The 16,284-nt window shown below is 40.3% G+C and overlaps 1 protein-coding gene across 9 annotated transcripts in view, besides 11 other annotated features; it reads left to right on the top strand.

The window, feature by feature from the left end:
- Positions 1-2,022: 2,022 nt before the first annotated feature.
- Positions 2,023-16,284, top strand: part of SCAF11 (SR-related CTD associated factor 11) — a 72,929-nt gene continuing 58,667 nt past the window's right edge. For 4 of the 9 annotated variants that reach the window (XM_047429883.1, XM_047429880.1, XM_047429878.1 and 1 more), the window contains exon 1: positions 2,023-2,197. In XM_047429883.1, coding sequence (XP_047285839.1) covers positions 2,027-2,197 — 171 coding nt within the window. In that variant the 5' untranslated portion in view covers positions 2,023-2,026. Of the gene's footprint in view, positions 2,198-3,261; positions 3,377-3,507; positions 3,730-16,284 lie in introns of those variants that run through there. The other 5 variants (NM_004719.3, XM_047429881.1, XM_011538984.3 and 2 more) reach the window with 2 other exon arrangements.
- Positions 2,395-2,594: an enhancer, noted in NCBI's record as "active region_6233". NCBI's record gives its function as "activates an Ori minimal core promoter by ATAC-STARR-seq in GM12878 lymphoblastoid cells {active_cell/tissue: GM12878}" and the evidence as "EXISTENCE:reporter gene assay evidence [ECO:0000049][PMID:35858748]".
- Positions 3,073-3,786: an enhancer, noted in NCBI's record as "H3K27ac-H3K4me1 hESC enhancer chr12:46384079-46384792 (GRCh37/hg19 assembly coordinates)". NCBI's record gives its function as "activates a minimal SCP1, AML or CMV promoter by ChIP-STARR-seq in primed H9 embryonic stem cells {active_cell/tissue: H9 hESC(primed)}" and the evidence as "EXISTENCE:reporter gene assay evidence [ECO:0000049][PMID:30033119]".
- Positions 3,073-3,804: a biological region, named in NCBI's record as "H3K27ac-H3K4me1 hESC enhancer GRCh37_chr12:46384079-46384792".
- Positions 3,075-3,144: an enhancer, noted in NCBI's record as "active region_6232". NCBI's record gives its function as "activates an Ori minimal core promoter by ATAC-STARR-seq in GM12878 lymphoblastoid cells {active_cell/tissue: GM12878}" and the evidence as "EXISTENCE:reporter gene assay evidence [ECO:0000049][PMID:35858748]".
- Positions 3,155-3,354: an enhancer, noted in NCBI's record as "active region_6231". NCBI's record gives its function as "activates an Ori minimal core promoter by ATAC-STARR-seq in GM12878 lymphoblastoid cells {active_cell/tissue: GM12878}" and the evidence as "EXISTENCE:reporter gene assay evidence [ECO:0000049][PMID:35858748]".
- Positions 3,475-3,524: a silencer, noted in NCBI's record as "silent region_4380". NCBI's record gives its function as "represses an Ori minimal core promoter by ATAC-STARR-seq in GM12878 lymphoblastoid cells {active_cell/tissue: GM12878}" and the evidence as "EXISTENCE:reporter gene assay evidence [ECO:0000049][PMID:35858748]".
- Positions 3,595-3,804: an enhancer, noted in NCBI's record as "active region_6230". NCBI's record gives its function as "activates an Ori minimal core promoter by ATAC-STARR-seq in GM12878 lymphoblastoid cells {active_cell/tissue: GM12878}" and the evidence as "EXISTENCE:reporter gene assay evidence [ECO:0000049][PMID:35858748]".
- Positions 3,865-3,964: a silencer, noted in NCBI's record as "silent region_4379". NCBI's record gives its function as "represses an Ori minimal core promoter by ATAC-STARR-seq in GM12878 lymphoblastoid cells {active_cell/tissue: GM12878}" and the evidence as "EXISTENCE:reporter gene assay evidence [ECO:0000049][PMID:35858748]".
- Positions 4,165-4,214: an enhancer, noted in NCBI's record as "active region_6229". NCBI's record gives its function as "activates an Ori minimal core promoter by ATAC-STARR-seq in GM12878 lymphoblastoid cells {active_cell/tissue: GM12878}" and the evidence as "EXISTENCE:reporter gene assay evidence [ECO:0000049][PMID:35858748]".
- Positions 4,365-4,434: a silencer, noted in NCBI's record as "silent region_4378". NCBI's record gives its function as "represses an Ori minimal core promoter by ATAC-STARR-seq in GM12878 lymphoblastoid cells {active_cell/tissue: GM12878}" and the evidence as "EXISTENCE:reporter gene assay evidence [ECO:0000049][PMID:35858748]".
- Positions 7,330-7,379: a silencer, noted in NCBI's record as "silent region_4377". NCBI's record gives its function as "represses an Ori minimal core promoter by ATAC-STARR-seq in GM12878 lymphoblastoid cells {active_cell/tissue: GM12878}" and the evidence as "EXISTENCE:reporter gene assay evidence [ECO:0000049][PMID:35858748]".

Below are 16,284 nucleotides of genomic sequence, written 5' to 3'. Positions count from 1 at the left end.
CTCACTGCATCCCTGACCTCCCAGGCTCAAGCAATCCTTCCAGTGCACGCCACCACAGCTGGTCATTTTTTTAATTTTATTTTTAGTAGAAACTAGGTCTCACTATGTTGCTCAGACAGTATGTCCTTTGAATTCACACATTTTTATTGCCATAAAAATGCCAGAGATCATTAAAATAAAAATGTCCTCTTATAGAAACTAAAGACCAAAAAGTTAGGTGATTTATTCAAAACTGAAAAGGTGTTAAGTGACAGTATTAGAACCATGTTTTTCTTTTTTTTCTTTTTCTTTTTTTTTTTTTTTGAGATGGAGTCTTACTCTGTCACCCAGGCTGGAGTGCAGTAGCGCCATCTCGGCTCACTGCAACCTCCGCCTCCCAGGTTCAAGTGATTCTCCTGCCTCAGCCTCCTGAGTAGCTAGTAGCTGGGATTACAGGCACATGCCACCATGCGGGCTAATTTTTGTATTTTCAGTAGAGATGGGGTTTCACCATGTTGGCCAGTCTGGTCTCGAACTCCTGACCTTAAGTGATCCAACCACCTCAGCCTCCCAAAGTGCTGGAATTACAAGCATGAGCCACCATGCCTGGCCAGAACCATGTTTTTCAATCCAGTATATTTACAGCATGATTTCCTCCCTTAATTTGAACTTGATATTGTATTCTATTTATAAGTTAAATTAAAATAGCAGTTATTTCTGAAAAAGCTCCATCAAAATCAATACGTTGATTACCCATTTTTAAACGTGCCACTGTGGGTTTCTGTTGCTATGTGACAGGACTGATATTTTAAGTGCCTGGTAAAGTGCAACACACCAAGTGGACATTCAGTTTAAGGCTGTTTTATGATGCATATCATTTGTGCTTTTTACAGTTAAAATCAAATCTAAAATGTTGACAATGATGGTTCATATATCAACTTTACTCCTCCATTTTATAGCCCATCTTTTATTGATTTAGAACTCTGTACCTCTTTATTATATTGTAAATTTAAAAAATATGAAAACATCAGAGAGAATAATAAATCTTTACATCCAAACATAATAAGGAGGATGCTGCATATACAGAAATACACATGAACTTTTCTCTGGAAAGAATGGCCTATTACAAACCACCACTCTCTTCTATTTGCACATGAAGGTAGAAACCACAGTGGCATTAAGAGCATTTTTCCTTAAGACATGCTCACATGATATCTAGGAGGCCAACAGTAAGAACGTGAAAACTTAATTCTCTGCTAGGAAACAAATACATCAAAAGATCTGGTATTTTTAGTTTTGATGAAACTATACTGTTATTATCAATTTAAAATAGTTTTCTATTTGGCAGATTTTATCATTTGGGCTTAAATTTTGAGAAAAAACACTTTCCTAAAACAAAACTGAGATTTTTAAAAATATATTTAGATTTTAAATATATATAGATTTTTTAAAATATAAAACATACACAGAAGCATGTTGCACCAGGAGTCCATATCAGGAGTTACACTCTCTAGAGTGAATCCTAGAGATTGTATACATAAAAAAGCTACACCCTTATTCTGTTGGATGGCTCATAAATGTTGATCTGGTTATAGCTTTCCACACTAATTTTCACTATTTCTCTTAACAATCATCCTTTATAATCATTCTTTATATCCAAATAGTATATATCCTTTACTATTTGCTCTGATTTTGACAGGGAAAGGTCCTTCATAAGAATTTTGTTGTTCCATCAGAAGAAAGCATTTTAACGCCTCTAGCTCATTTTCCCCTCAAATATCCCAAATACAGTAAAGCCACCTAAATTCCCAAACCCCATATCAAAAACAGTACACTGAAAAACTCCAAAGACTTTGACAGCGACAAGACCGCCATTCATGTGTTCCTTCAGCAAGTGCCAGACGCTGTTATGAAAGTGATAAGACACTGTCCCAATCCTCACAGTGTGAGACAGTGAGCAGACTCAACAGAATGCATAGGATGAAAGTGCCAGAAAAGCGACGTCCTCAGGGCGGGAGCAGGGGACGCCGCAACGTAGTCTGCGAGAATGCAGGAAGGCGGCAGTGAAGCGGTCGGTCGGCGGGGCCGCGGCAAAGTGGGGAGGAAACTCATCCCGGGCAGGCGTCAGGGTGGCTGGAGAGCGCAGCACGCGCGAACAGAACGGGGGCAGGCGACAGGAAAACGTGTGAGCGCGCGGCTGAAAGCGACTGGGACCTGGGTGAGCCGCGCGCGGGGAGCAGAGCTTAGTCCTGCGGGAGCCGCAAGCAGGACAAGGGCGTGGGTGGGAGGACTGGAAGGTCAGCTGGTAGATGGGGGACACTGAGGGCAGGCAGAGCAACCGGAAGCTTGCTGCAGTCGACGAGAAGAGAAACTAGGAGGTTAAATAATCAGTGACTTTGAAAAAGTCAAAATACCTCCGAGGTAAAACAAAACATTTAACAACCCGCCGGGGGAAAAAGTGGAGGATGGCACACACGTCACTATCTAACCACAACGCGGAGGCCTTTTAAGTAAATAATGATAAAGTTTTTGTTGTTGTTTGAGACAGGGTCTCGCTCTGTCGCCCAGGCTGGAGTGCAGTGGAACGATCTCGGCTCACTGCAACCTCCGCCTCCCGGGTTCAAGCGATTCTCCCACCTCATCTTCCCGAGGAGCTGGGACCGCAGGTGCGCGCCACCACGGCCGGTTAATTTTATTTTTTGTAGAAACGAGATCTTAATACGTCGCTCAAGCTGGTCTCGAACTGCTGAGCTCAAGCGATCCGCCAGCCTCGGCCTCCCAAAGCGCTGGGATTACCGGCGTGAGCCACCGCGCACCTGGCCCAAATTTAATTTTGTGATGTGGGGTTAAGACATGGGAAAGCCCCTAGGCTCGGGGAGTCAGGCGGGAAAGCTCTCCCCCTGGCATCTAAAAAAATGCCCACCAGAAAGGAGGAAAGGTGGGCTTCCAAATTGCCGACTCTTCACTCCACAGGCTGCATTTCAGGTGGGCAGCGCAGCCAGGTGAACACTCAATCCACCGCAAACATGCGGACACTCTTTTCAATATCAGATTACCATAAAGATAAGGAGCACACCCTGCGCAAAATCCTTCCTGTCCAGTTCCCTTAAAGCCTCTTTCATTGTCCTCCGCGACGCAGCCTGTAAAACTGCCAAAGGAGGGCAGAGGCCAAAGTCCACGCGCTGCGCATGCGCACCATCCGCAGTGTGGGCGAAGGGCGGTGCTGGAAGGACGTTTCCCAGAAGGCCCCTCCAGCGCAGCTGCCCTTCCTCCCGCTCACAGGCCGCGTGACGTGACTCCACCCACCACGCTTCTCGGTCTCAAACAGCAGTTTGCCAGCGCCCCCCTGCGGCCCAACTGGGTACTACGAACATGCACTCAGGGCCAGAGCGAGCGAGTAAGCAGAATGTGGCGAGTCCGGCTGCCGCCGTCGTCACCTTAGCGCGCCGACAGCGAGGGAAGGGAGGAGGAGGGAGACGCGCAGGGAGGGGAGGGGAGGGAGGAGGCTAGACAAGGCGGGGGAAGGGGGAGTAGCGGTGGCTTAAGCCGCGCGGAGCAGCGCAACCTGGGTCGCTCCCTGCTTCGCCGCCGCCTCCGGACCGAGCCAGCGGAGTCAGTGTCCTAGAGACCCTGTAACACCACAAAGCGGACGAAGGAGTCCATGTTGGGGAACTTGGCAGCGGAGTGACTGGGACCTGGGAACCTACTGTGGGGCCGCGGCCGGACCGAGCGCCTCGACCTCGGTCTGAGGTAAACACTGGTCGACCCGCGGGGTGGATGGGCTTGGGCAGCTGTCTGGGAGAGACGAGGGTTAGCGGCCGGCGCAGAGCGCTGGAGCGGGCCTAGGGCGACGCGAGGGCTGACAAAGTTTCGGAATCTCGCGCGGCCCGTGCGACGTCGTGCGCTGGGAGGAAAGTTGGAGCTACCTCTCGAAGTGGGGGAGGCTGCGGCCGGGAGGGCCCCTTTCCCTCTCGCTGCCCCGCGAGGGAGGCTCGGCCCGGCCCTGGGCCGCCGCCGCCTCTCTGTCGCACTCTGTCCCATTTCCTCCTTGTGGCCTACGCGTCTCCCGCCGCCTTAGCTGGCGAAGCCTGTCCCCGTCCGGGTGCAGGGTCCTACGGGGGGGGGGGAAGGGGCTCCACGCCAGAACCGCCACAGACACCCTCCTCCCTGCAGTGGAAACGTGTCCTGCTGAGCTTCCGGGCGCTCCCGACCGCGGTGTCGGCTTTTCTTGGGAGACTTTGGTCGCGAGCGTCCAAGCCCGCTAGTGAAACCAAACTTTACTACGCCGTGACCTCTCGAGTGCGCGAATGGGGAAGAGCCGGCGCTTCTAAGCATCAGCCTTTTTCACTCCTTGATCTGAACTTCAAACTACTCATCCACCCCCAGTGTTTTAAATTCGCTACCTGGGCTGACAACTACGGGGCCGGGAGATATAAATTTAGCCTAATCAGTCGCCCCTTCTGAGACCTAGGAATTTTGAACCATTAAAAAGATTTCCTACAGATGGCTGGCGGTCTTGCCACCAACACGTATTTTGAAGTATTGTTTCAAAAGTAGACGCCTGATTTAGAGTACTTGATTTAGACATTCACGGATTCAAATGTTGAATTTTGAAATACTTCCAATATATTTCCGTATTGTATTACATACAGTGTCTACCAGCTGACTGTTGTTCATTCATTTTGGATTACATTTTGGCTAACATGCTACCACTGACCTAAGATACTTAAGCAAAACTGCTGAAAAATGTTTTTAATGCTTTGTGTAGTAGATGCTGATGTTAAATTTTTTTCTCCGATTTGGGAATTTTCCCCGAATTTTGGGAAAAGCATATTAATAAATGCATTATTTTTTCGTTTTAAAAGAAAAATTAATTTCTACATATCACCACCTACCTCAGCAGCAGAATATCAGGGCAGTACATTTTAAAATAACGGTTGGTTTTTGTATTTTATTAGTAATTGTATTAAAATTTTGACATGTAATCAAGTCTGTTTCTAAACAATTGCTTTCTCTTTCCTGTTTCTTTGGCAGTTGGCTTGATCATGTCACTATTTTGGTTAAAAGATGCAAGAAAAAGTTCATGGGCCTTTTGTTTTTGTTGTTTTAACTAAGCAAGAGAAATGAAATCTTGAAACTGTCTTTGGATTTCTTTTGTTTTATATTATCCTATCGGATAATCTGAATTTATATTTTTTATGCAATGTGAGTTTTTTAAAAACAGTTCTTAGGGTAGCTGCATTTTAGCTATAATATTTTTTGGTGCTTGCAGATATTTTAACAGTCATTCAGTTTTTCACATTCAGATAGTGAACTTTTTGCCTGAGAGTTTGAGTACATTTTAAGATTTCACTGGGGTAAAATTTGAATGTTTGCTTACTGTAAGTATACTCATGCTTTAAAGACATTCTTCAGTATAAAGGGGAAGAAAACTGTAGAAGAAAATTTAAAGTTTCTAAATATGTTGCCAGAAAACATGTCATGGAGAAAATTTTACGGATAATTTTTTAATTTTTTCTGTTAATACCTTCATGTGGTAATAGGGCTAGTGTGTTAAGATCGAAACTTTTCAGGAGTTACTTAGCTCTCTATCGTCCTTTGGCACCAACTAGAGCTTAGACAGTTTTCTGGAAAACCTGTGCTTTTATTCAGCAGAGATAGGATGAATCAGTGCAGTTACATGATACTGTTGATTCATCATCAGTAACATCTTTTAGTAATCAGAAAATACAGTACTATACTACCCATCAACTTAATACTGAACTTTTAAAGTATATCAGAGATAGTTGTAGCACCTTAATTAAAGAGAGTAGCAGGCATAAAAGTAATAAAAAGAAAGTCAACTGTAGAATAATTTTCATTGTAACTTCCCTTTAGCAAGCCCTGCTATCACCTGCTTTTGTCTTTTAAGATGTAAATTGTACCTTGACTTACCTTGCCCAGTGAAATAAACTTAAAATCCAGATTTTTAATTATACTCTGTCCCCCAAAATAAGTTAATAACCTTGCACCTTGTCTTGCTTCTGAGCAGTAATAACTGTTAGTAGTGCTGAGTAGAGCCCAGAGTTAAAATATCCAGTATCATTCTCTTGCTATTCCCAAAACTCATCTTTGCATTGTATTTTTTTAAGTTGTGTCTATGAACTTAATGTATGAAATCCTAGTACATAGACACATAAAAATTCAATACATAACGTAAAAACACAACCACTATTTTGCTTTCAAAAATATCTTCCTAAAAAGTCACTGTGACCTTTGCTGATCTACAGTCTTTAACACTCCATAGCCAGAGTGATCCTGATAAAATGTCAGGTCATGTAACTTCTTTTCTCAAATGGCTTCCCTTCTCAGTCATAGTAAATTCCATACTCCTATGGTCTACAAGGCTCTATGATTTAAGTCTCTTCTTCCTCTCTGACTTCATCTCCTCACCCTTTCTCCAATCTCCTTTCCCCTACGCTGTTGTGGTCTTCTCTAACTACTGTGTATAAAACAACAGCCTTCCCCCGATATTTTGTATCTGTTTTTATGCTAGATTTTTCTCCATTGCATTTATCATTTTGCAACATATTGTGTAATCTAACTTAGGTTTATTGTTTATTTTCTTCACTGTGATTTATCTTCTGTGAGATCAGCATTTGTCAGTATTTGTCACCTAAACACCTGAACAATGCCTTCAGTGTAAGTTAATGAATTAACCTGCTTTCAGCTGTAAACGTTACAAATAGTGATTGTGGTTTGAAACTTTAGACTAAGCAAGTCTCAGTCTGTAGCATAAACTGCCAAGTTACTTATATCCATGCATGTGGGCCATGTTCATTTCAGGGGTCCTTGTTTTTTGTTGTTGTTTGTTTTGTTTTTGCTTTCAGATAGCATCTCGCTGTCTCCCAGGCTGGAGCGCAGTGGTGTGATCACAGCTCTCACTTTGGTGCCCAGGCTGGTCTCAAATTCCTGGGCTAAGTAATCATCCCGCCTTGGCCTCCCAAAGTGCTGGGATTACAGGAATGAACCACCACACCCAGCCTAAGGGGTCTGTGTTTTTAGAGGAGTATAACAGTATGTGACCTTGAAACTATCATTTGTCTTAATATAGAAGGAGCTAAGAATGCCTCAGCTAAGAGTAGAGCAGTGCATTAGCCTGATTTCATGCTGCTGACATACCTGAGACTGGGAAGAAAAAGAGGTATAATTGGACTTACAGTTCCACATGGCTAGGGAGGCCTCAGAATCTTGGTGGGAGGAGAAGGGCACTTCTTACATAGTGGTTGGTGGCAAGAGAAAATGAGGAAGATGCAAAAGCGGAAACATCTGTTAAAACCATCAGATCTTGTGAGACTTGTTCACTACCATGAGAACAGTATGGGGGAAACTGCCCCCATGATTCAAATTATCTCCCAACAGGTTGCTCCCACAACACGTGGGAATTATGGGAATACAATTCAAGAGAGATTTGGGTGGGGACACAGCCAAACCATATCAAGCAGTATAACTATCTTATTGTTAAAAATGTTGTCATTTAGAAGCCATATTAATTTCTTATAGTTCCAGAAGGCAAAACTAGGATTGTGGTGATGTGTATTGAAAGGGAGGAGAGAGGCAGCAAGAGATCTGGGAGAATTAGTTAGCAGGCTTTTTTAGTAGTCTGGGAGAGATGAGGATAGCTTGAATTAGGATGATAATTGTGGAGATGGGCTCAGTGGATGGGATTTGAGACCAGCAGGCCTTAGTTAATAGATTGAAAGTGAGGGAGAAAGAAATTTGAAAGATGATTTCTGGATTACATTCCTGGGTTGTGCCAGATAAGGACCAGAGCTCTTTTGGTTTTAACATATCAGGCTTAAAGTACCTTTGGAGCTTTCAGGTAGAAGTTCCTGTAAGCAATTAGATACATGGTTCTGAAATTCAGAGGAAGAGTATTGGCTGTAAATGGAAAACTGGAATCTCCCATACAGGTAATTGGAACTATAGGTATGGATGAAATTGCCTAGGTGAGGGAATATAACTTGGGGGAAAAAAGGCCTAGGATGGAACCACAATGACCTCTAACATTTAAAAAACTTTGCTGGAAGAATGTGAGCTCCCAGAGAATACCGTGAAGATCAGAGAAGTAGAGGGTGAGTGGGGTGTTACAGAAACCAAAGAAAGAGAATGTTACAAGGAGATAGAAGTCAAGAAGAGAGAGTTGGGTCAAGTGTTGATAAGAGCTTAATAAGGTAAGAACTAAAAAAAATTCTGTTGAGTGTAACAATGTGAAGCTCATTGGCCTTTTGAACAAGCAGGACAGTAAGGTTCTTATTTTCAGATTGATGCTTCTCTAATTGCTTAACTAGATCTAAAAGTATTGAGATCAAAGTTTAAGAAATTATCACCCATATTACAGAAGATAGCTAATGTTTATCAGATATTTACTATGTGTCAGCCACTCTGTTGTAGACATTTTACATACATTTTCATTTGATCTTTTCGGTAGCCTTGCAATGTTGACTGTGTTAGTCCATTTTACAGAAATGAGTCTGGGGCTCTGGAGAAGTTAAATGACTTGTTAAGTGTCAGAGAAGTTGCTAAGTATCTATAGCTGGGTCCATCTGACTTTCGGCCTTCAGTTGTTTCACTGATCTAGAGGAACCTCTAGATCAGATTAAGGTACTAGAGCTCAAACAGAATGGTAAAATCTTCAGTATGGGGTATCTAAGAAGTATGGGGTAAGGGGTGCATCCCAGGACAGGATGTCAGAGCCTAAGTAGAGAAAAAAGTTATGCAAAGAAGGTAGGGAACAGCAAAGGCAATGGGAAACTGGCCACATGCAGGGGGTTGATCAAATTTAGTAAGTAATGATAATGAGTCAGAGTTCTCCTGGTGAGAAGGGAGTTATAAATTTGGTAATGGAGAAAACAAGAACAAATCTTGCGGACTGAAATTGGAGAAATTGGTACCAATTCATGGTTTTCTACACATAGACATTGAAATAATTAGAGCATCCAAATCTTGTTTTCTAAATACCTTTCTCCACTAAAAGCAACCACTCTTTGGAGGAATGGTTGATTCCAGTGCTGGGGCAGGGAAAGTACAAGGTGAGCTTCATTTTCTTATGTCCAAAAGTAAGGAAGTGGCTGGGTGTGGTGGCTCACACCTGTAATCCCAGCACTTTGGGAGGCCAAGGCAGGTGGATCACTTGAGGTCAGGAGTTCAAGGCCAGCCTGGCCAATGTGGCAAAATCCTGTCTCTACTAAAAATACAAAATTTAGCCAGGTGTAGTGGCCCATGCCTGTAATCCCAGCTACATGGGAGGCTGAGGCACAAGAATCGCTTGAACCTGGGAGGTGGAGTTTGCAGTGGGCCAAGATCACCACACTGCACTCCAGCCTGGGCGACAAAGTGAGACTCCACCTCAAAAAAAAAAAAAAAAAGGAAGTGCGAAGAGCAAGTCAAAAGAAAACAGAAACTATCTTGAAAGGCTTTCACTAGCCAAAGCTGAGATAATCTCGGAATAAATAAATAGCAAGTTTAATAAGGAATGGGCTATTTTACAGTCTCAAAATACTTTTCCACAAAAATGCATGTTAATTACCAATGGGACAAAAGTAACTTTACAGTGAAGACGCTTGGATGATATTACCTCAATCAAGTTATCAAAGTGCACATCATCAGTAATGAGACAAACAGAAATTGTATGCCATTTGACAGGACACAATGAGAAAAACACATCATAATTACTGTCAAATAGTGTACAACCTGAATCTAACCATAAGGAAATATCTGGCATCCTACAGAAAGAAAACTACATCTGAAAAAAAATAAAAGGAAGTATCAGGCAAACCCAAATTGGAAGACATTTTGCAACAGAACTAATCTATAAGCTTTAAGGAGTACAAACAAGGTCATGAAAGTCAAGACTGGGGGACTGTTCCAAGTTGAAGGAGTCTAAAAAGAAGTAATCCCTTTTTCTTTTTATTAAGGTAAAAAGAATCTTAATCTGGGTTCCCTCACTATTCGTAACATGAGCATTTTGCTCACTAACTTGGGCTCCAATGCCTCCAGCCAGAATAGCAGCATACAGACGTGTTCTTTTAAAGTTTATACTTATTCCTTTTTGTAAAAGATTATTATACCAACACTTTTAGTGAAAATTAAAAGTGTTCTCAATCTTTAAACCCTCTTGAGTAAATTTAAACCCTCTTAAGACTCACATCTCTATTAGGGATAAGACTAAACTTCTTCCTTTTTTATCCTTTCTTTTACCCTAGACTTCTCAGATGTACTTTTAGGGTTGTCTTTTTATTGTAATTTTGACAGTAAGGTAAAAATTAGTTCAGTCTTTGTGTGTGTGTGTGTGTGTGTGTGTGTGTGTGTGTGTGTGTGTTTTAGGTTTAGGAGTCAGTCAGACCTGGTTTTGAACTCTGGTTGTCCTAGATGACTGATTGTCACCTTTTATAGGTGATCTAATCAGTATCTCAATTTCCTCACCTAATTTTTTAATAACATTTATCTAAGTCCAGTGGTAATAGCAGCTAACTCTGTCTCTGTTCATACTCTTAAGTTAGCTTTGTTTAGTGGGTGATTTTTAAGCCTTTTTAATGCAGTGTTCTGTTGTTCAGTATTGACGGTGTTTTAATTTTTTAAATGTATCGTGTTCTGGTATTTTGAGGATTAAATGTGGAAAGGCATGCCAGAATGTGTAGTTCATTACGTAGTATATTGTAGGCATTCACTCTACCCATAGTTCTGAACTCCAGGTTTGTTGATATCTATGTGTCTATTAGGTCTGTGCCCTAGGGGAGCTTAGTCCTAATCAGGCCTTCTTTTTTGATATCTAGTCTTCTTTCCATTTTCTCCTAACTAGTTTCTCGTACTTTCCATCTCTCCACCACTGCCACCTTTCTGCTACTACATTAAGCTCAAAATCCCCAATTTAAACATCTTATAAACCACTTTCAAAACAAATAAATGGGAGAGAGATAGACTTGAAGTCCACCTAAGGAAACACAACGTAAGTCCTAATTGGACTTAAGAACATTAACTTTTTGCACTTTATTATCATTATTTTTCTTTACTTGCCTCAGTCGTTAGTTACTCCCCCACTGGTACATTTAAAAAAATGTCTTAGAAACTCTTTGCCTATTTCTCACATTTGGCACTTGGCATATGCTATCTTGTTCATCTTCTGTATCCTATGTCTCCAAGTCTACTCCTTGTACCGGGAAGTGATACAGTATCTTAATCCGTCTTTATATTCCAATACCAGGCTCAGTACCCTGACCACAGTAGTTATTTAGCAGCTTAAAGTAAACCAAAACAGAAGTACAAACATGAAAGACAGCGGCCAAAACAACACTGTTATAAAAATTCTCTGGGATCAATGAAACAGTCTACAAATGATAGGTTTTGTTTGGTTTGTTTTGAGACACAGTCTCATTCTGTCACCCAGGCTGGAGTGCAGTGGTACAATCTCGGTTCACTGTAACCTTTGCTTCCCAAGTTCAAGCAATTCTCCTGCCTCAGTCTCCTGAGTAGCTAGGATTACAGGCGTGTACCACTACACCCGGCTAATTTTTGTATTTTTAGTAGAAACGGTTTCACCATGTTGGTCAGGCTGATCTCGAACTCCTGACCTCAAGTGATCTGCCCGCCTTGGCCTCCTGAATTGCTGGGATTACAGTCATGAGCCACTGTACCCGGCCCCGATAGGTGATTTTTTAATGTAAATATACGTATAGCACTATTTTGTATGCCTAGATGGCTTGTCAAGAAGAATGATTCTGTAAGCTGTTATAATGGGGAATAAATATTAATGACTCAAAAAATTTATAAGCTATCACTCACCTGAAAACTTCATCATAGAAAACCCTTCAGATAGGACAGTTTTAATGTAATAGGTCATATTTCTTTAGAAACTGTTGTGCATGTCCAGTTACTTAAGACATCAGCTTGAGTAATATGAGGGAGATGGATGAAACGAAATAGCTTCATTGTTTCAAAACTGCCACAGAACTAGATATAATTAAAACTGAATGGAGGGTAAACAAATCCACTTAGACTCTTTAAAAAGGTTTAAAATATAGTTCATATTAATATAGCCATTCCAACCATCGTTTATTATTGTTTGCATTATTTGGCATATCTTGTTCTATATGTTTAACCTATCTTTATTTTTAAAGGGAGTTTCTTGTAGACAGGCATATAATTCAGTCTTTCTTTAAAATCCAGTTTGATAATCTCTTTTAATTGGTGTGCACGATTATTTACATTATTTACATTTAATATAATAATGTTTGTTCCTCTATTTTCTTCCTTTTTTGGGAGGTATGGGGAGAGACAAGGTCTCACTCTGTCCCCTGGCTGGAATGCTATGGGATGGCCATAGTTCCCTGCAACCTTAACCTCCTGGGCTCAAGTAATCCTCCTGCCTTAGCCTCCAGAGTACCTAGTACTACAGGCATGCCACCACACTCGGCTAATTTTTTAAATTTTTGTTAGAGATAGGTGAACAGTCTAGAGTTAATCTGTAACTAGAATAACTTGGGGAAATGAGATAAAAAACAAAAACGTATTTATTCAAGGATGACGGATTATATTTATTCCTCAGAAAATGGGAGAATGATGTTTCGGTTTTTGGATCTTTTTGGGAGACAGGAATCTCAGAGCTGTAAGGGGCTATTTGTTTAGAGATTATTTTGATACAACTTTAAGGGACTTGGATTAATATCAGGGTTATTTCTTTGGCATGGATTTGTAAGACTGTTCTCTACATCATCACATCATTTAGAATAGTTTGTTTTAGGGATGAGTTCATTCATCGTTTTTGACTCTTCATCCCTGTTTCCTTTCTCATTAACATGTCTTACTGATATACTTTTATGGTGTCGAACAAATCATATCCTGTGTTAGTCATGGTGAACATAGCAGAAGACTGGCCAGTTAGAAATTTCACTTGAAAAGGTAGTTGGCAGTTTGTAGCATTTATAATAAGATTACATTTAGGTGATAATCCGAATATCACTCAATCTCTAACAGCATTATTTTGGTCTGAGTTGTCTCTTCCAAAAACCAACTATATATACTCTTTGACAATATTTCTTTATTTTGTTAATTTATAAATCACCTGCCCTGTTTCCCTAAAACAAACTATTCTAAATGATGTGATATATTAGGTTATGTCCTAAGACATTGATAACTAGTATCTTACTAATATCAGTTTAGTTTTTCCTATTAGTGTATTTTGGGAGGAGGAACACTCCTCCCAAACACAGGTATTTTGGAACCTGGTGGAGCAGGACAGTCTTAATCCAGTTATTCTACTCTCAGGTTCTTTGCACTAAAAGGGCATGAGAGTCACTCACTAAATAGAGCTAATTTAAGAGAATGGAACATAGAGTTAGCTGCTATTTATTACCACTGGACTCAGATAAATGTTACTTAATTAGTTACATAAATACTGTAAGGATATGATGTTCAGGTGAGTTGTTGGGTAACTTATGACCCTTATAGAGATCCTTTTGTGTATTAGGCCGTTTAGTGTCAATGGTTAAGAGCATAAGGGAGCCTGATTATCTGAATTTCAGTCCCAGCTCCATCACTTGCTAGGTGTTTCCACAATAAAATGGGGGTAATGACAGTATCACTGTAAAATGAAGTTAATCTCTCAAGATCATAGTGGTTTGTTAATATATGTAGAGAGAGGGACTAAGTGTGTTTAGAATCATGCCTGACAAATAACATGTGCTATGGTTGCTAAACATATCCATAAATAATTGGGCATTCCTTTGAAGGCATGCTGTTGGATCCTAGTAATATAGTGATAAAGAAGGCAGGTTAAAAGCTTAACATTTTTGCAGTCATTTGAATCATTAAGAATGTTACCACTTCTTGTTGTTTGAATACTCATGATTTCTGGTGACTTGGATTAATATTTGTGTTATTTGTTGGTAAATTGCTAATGGGTTCCAGTCCTACTACTTAATGCTGGCTTTTCGATCTTGGGCATGTTACTTATTTTCATTGTATGTAAAATTGAGATGCCTCTTTCACCAGGTTCTATAAAAGTTAAATGAGATCATTCGTGACCTGTTAGAAAGTAGTAGCCAAAAATAATATGAAACGCTTACACAAAAATCTAGGTTATGGGCATTTGTAGCATTTGTGATATGATTACATTTAGGAAAGAATCCCAATATCTATTCATGCCTTATGCTAATGTGGCAGAATTTTTTTTTTTTTAATTTTAAGTTTGCATAGTATGTAATACAATCGGTATCTGGGTTAGAGTTGTATTTCATAGGAGTAGGATTGTGAAATGCTTCTTTAAATTATGTGTAAAATATTCATATGAGGGCACATTGATACATATACATTTATGTAACATAATTGTACTTATCTCTGAGATACCTAGAAGGATGAGTTTGTGTTTAAGAAATTCAGATAATAGGCATAGCTAGAGAAAAGAGTAGATGTCCTGTTTACACTGTGCAAGATAATTGCTTTTTTCTGTCTTGGTTTTATAATAACTACTTGTACCAATTTGTAAGGGATTAGTATGAAGAAAGTGATCAGTTCTCAAGAAACCAACGAAAGAGTAACTTTCAGCATTTGTGCAAAATAAACTAATTTCTGGAATTGAAACTCTGTAAAGTTTTAAAAATCTTGTTTAAACAGAACGGGGTAGAATTTCAGAAGCAGTGTTTTGAACATCATCCCTTTTTTCCTATTAAATCCATTCTCATTTTTCTGTGACAAGCATTTTTATGTGGTCATTTATTTTCACTAATTCTCCCCCTTTAACTCTTAGGATTTTTCTGTGGTTTCAATGTTTATGCCCTCTCCAAAATTCATGTTGAAACTTAATCCTGAATGCAACAGTATTAAGTGGTGGGGCTTTTAGGAGGTGATTAGGCTGTGAGGGCTCTGCCCTCATGGATGGAATTAGTGCCTTCTATAAGGGCTGGAGAGAACTAACAGGGCCCTTTTATAAGGCACTAATTCCATCCATGAGGGCATAGCCTCACAGCCTAATCACCTCCTAAAAGCCCCACCACCTAATACTTGAAGATGCAGTAACAGGTGCCATCTTGGAAGCAGGGACCGGATCCTCACCAGGCACTGAACCTGCTGATGCCTTGATCTTAGACTTCTTAGCCTCCACAACTGTGTGAGAAATTTCTATTTTTTATAAATTAACTGTCTCAAGTGTCTTTTGTTTGTTTGTTTGTTTTTATTTGTTGTTTGTTTTTGTACAGCAGCACAAATGAACTAAGAGAGCTTTCTTTATTATTTGCAAGTATTTTCTGTGCCCTACACAATTTTCCCATCTCCCTTTTTTGGGAGGTGAGTAGATGGACAGGCATTGTCATTTCTGCTCAGAAGTCTTTCCAGGGTACACCAAGTGTTGAAGTAAAAATATAGTTGACAGTTTTCCTGTTTTTCTTAAAAGGATAAAAATTCACCAGTTCTTCCTCTACTTCCATACGTCCATCCAAGATGCCTTTCTTCTCTTTGTTATTCTGCCTCCCAGATGTGAAAATACAGTGCTGTTGACCCAAGTGCTCCTGTAGTCTTCTTGGGAAGTTTGGTTGTAAAATGAGTCTGTAACATCTCACTGCTCTTTTGCTTTTTGTCACTAATAGGCATAAAGTTTAGTTTTCTACGTGTAAACTCTACTTTTCCAAATGTATAACTCATCCCTTAAAAGTACCTGTAACAGGCATTCAGAAATTGCCTGGCGGAAATAAATATAAGAGAGCTTTAGGTTTGCCCTTAGCATATAAATTAGTTATGTCATTGTACTTCAGTAAATGGGGATGAGAATCTTGAGGATAAATGAAGATTGTGTAACCAACTCTTTGTGTTCTGTCCTCCATAACTTAAGCAGGGGTGGGGTTATTAGACAACAATTGCATAAATATATTGAAGTTATCAAAGGACATATGCTACTGTTTACAGTTGTTTCTTATTTGGAGAAGTAATGGAAGCCTGTCATTTGATGATTTTTCAGACTCTCATGGTAAACTATCCAGGCACATAAAAGGCACTCATTTGTATTTTCTTAAATAAAGTACTGCGTTGTAAATATATTCTTCCCATAGAGTGGATGACTGTCACATAAGAGTGTAACCTAACTGGGAGTCATAATAGATGTCTTCTTTTGGTGATCACCCATGCTATCATTAGGGTTTTGGAACTGATCTGTTTCTGCAACTCTGCCTTAGAATTTAGTGCAGTTGTTAAATTGAGCCTGTTGTTTTTAATCTCTGTGTCTGTACAGGTTATAGATATCTGTTGTCTCTCAGAACTGTCAGTGCTGAAGAAATGGAG

This window comes from Homo sapiens, chromosome 12, assembly GCF_000001405.40.
Source record: "Homo sapiens chromosome 12, GRCh38.p14 Primary Assembly".
In the NCBI taxonomy this organism is placed as follows: domain Eukaryota; kingdom Metazoa; phylum Chordata; class Mammalia; order Primates; family Hominidae; genus Homo; species Homo sapiens.
This window is presented reverse-complemented; position numbering and strand designations above follow the sequence as displayed.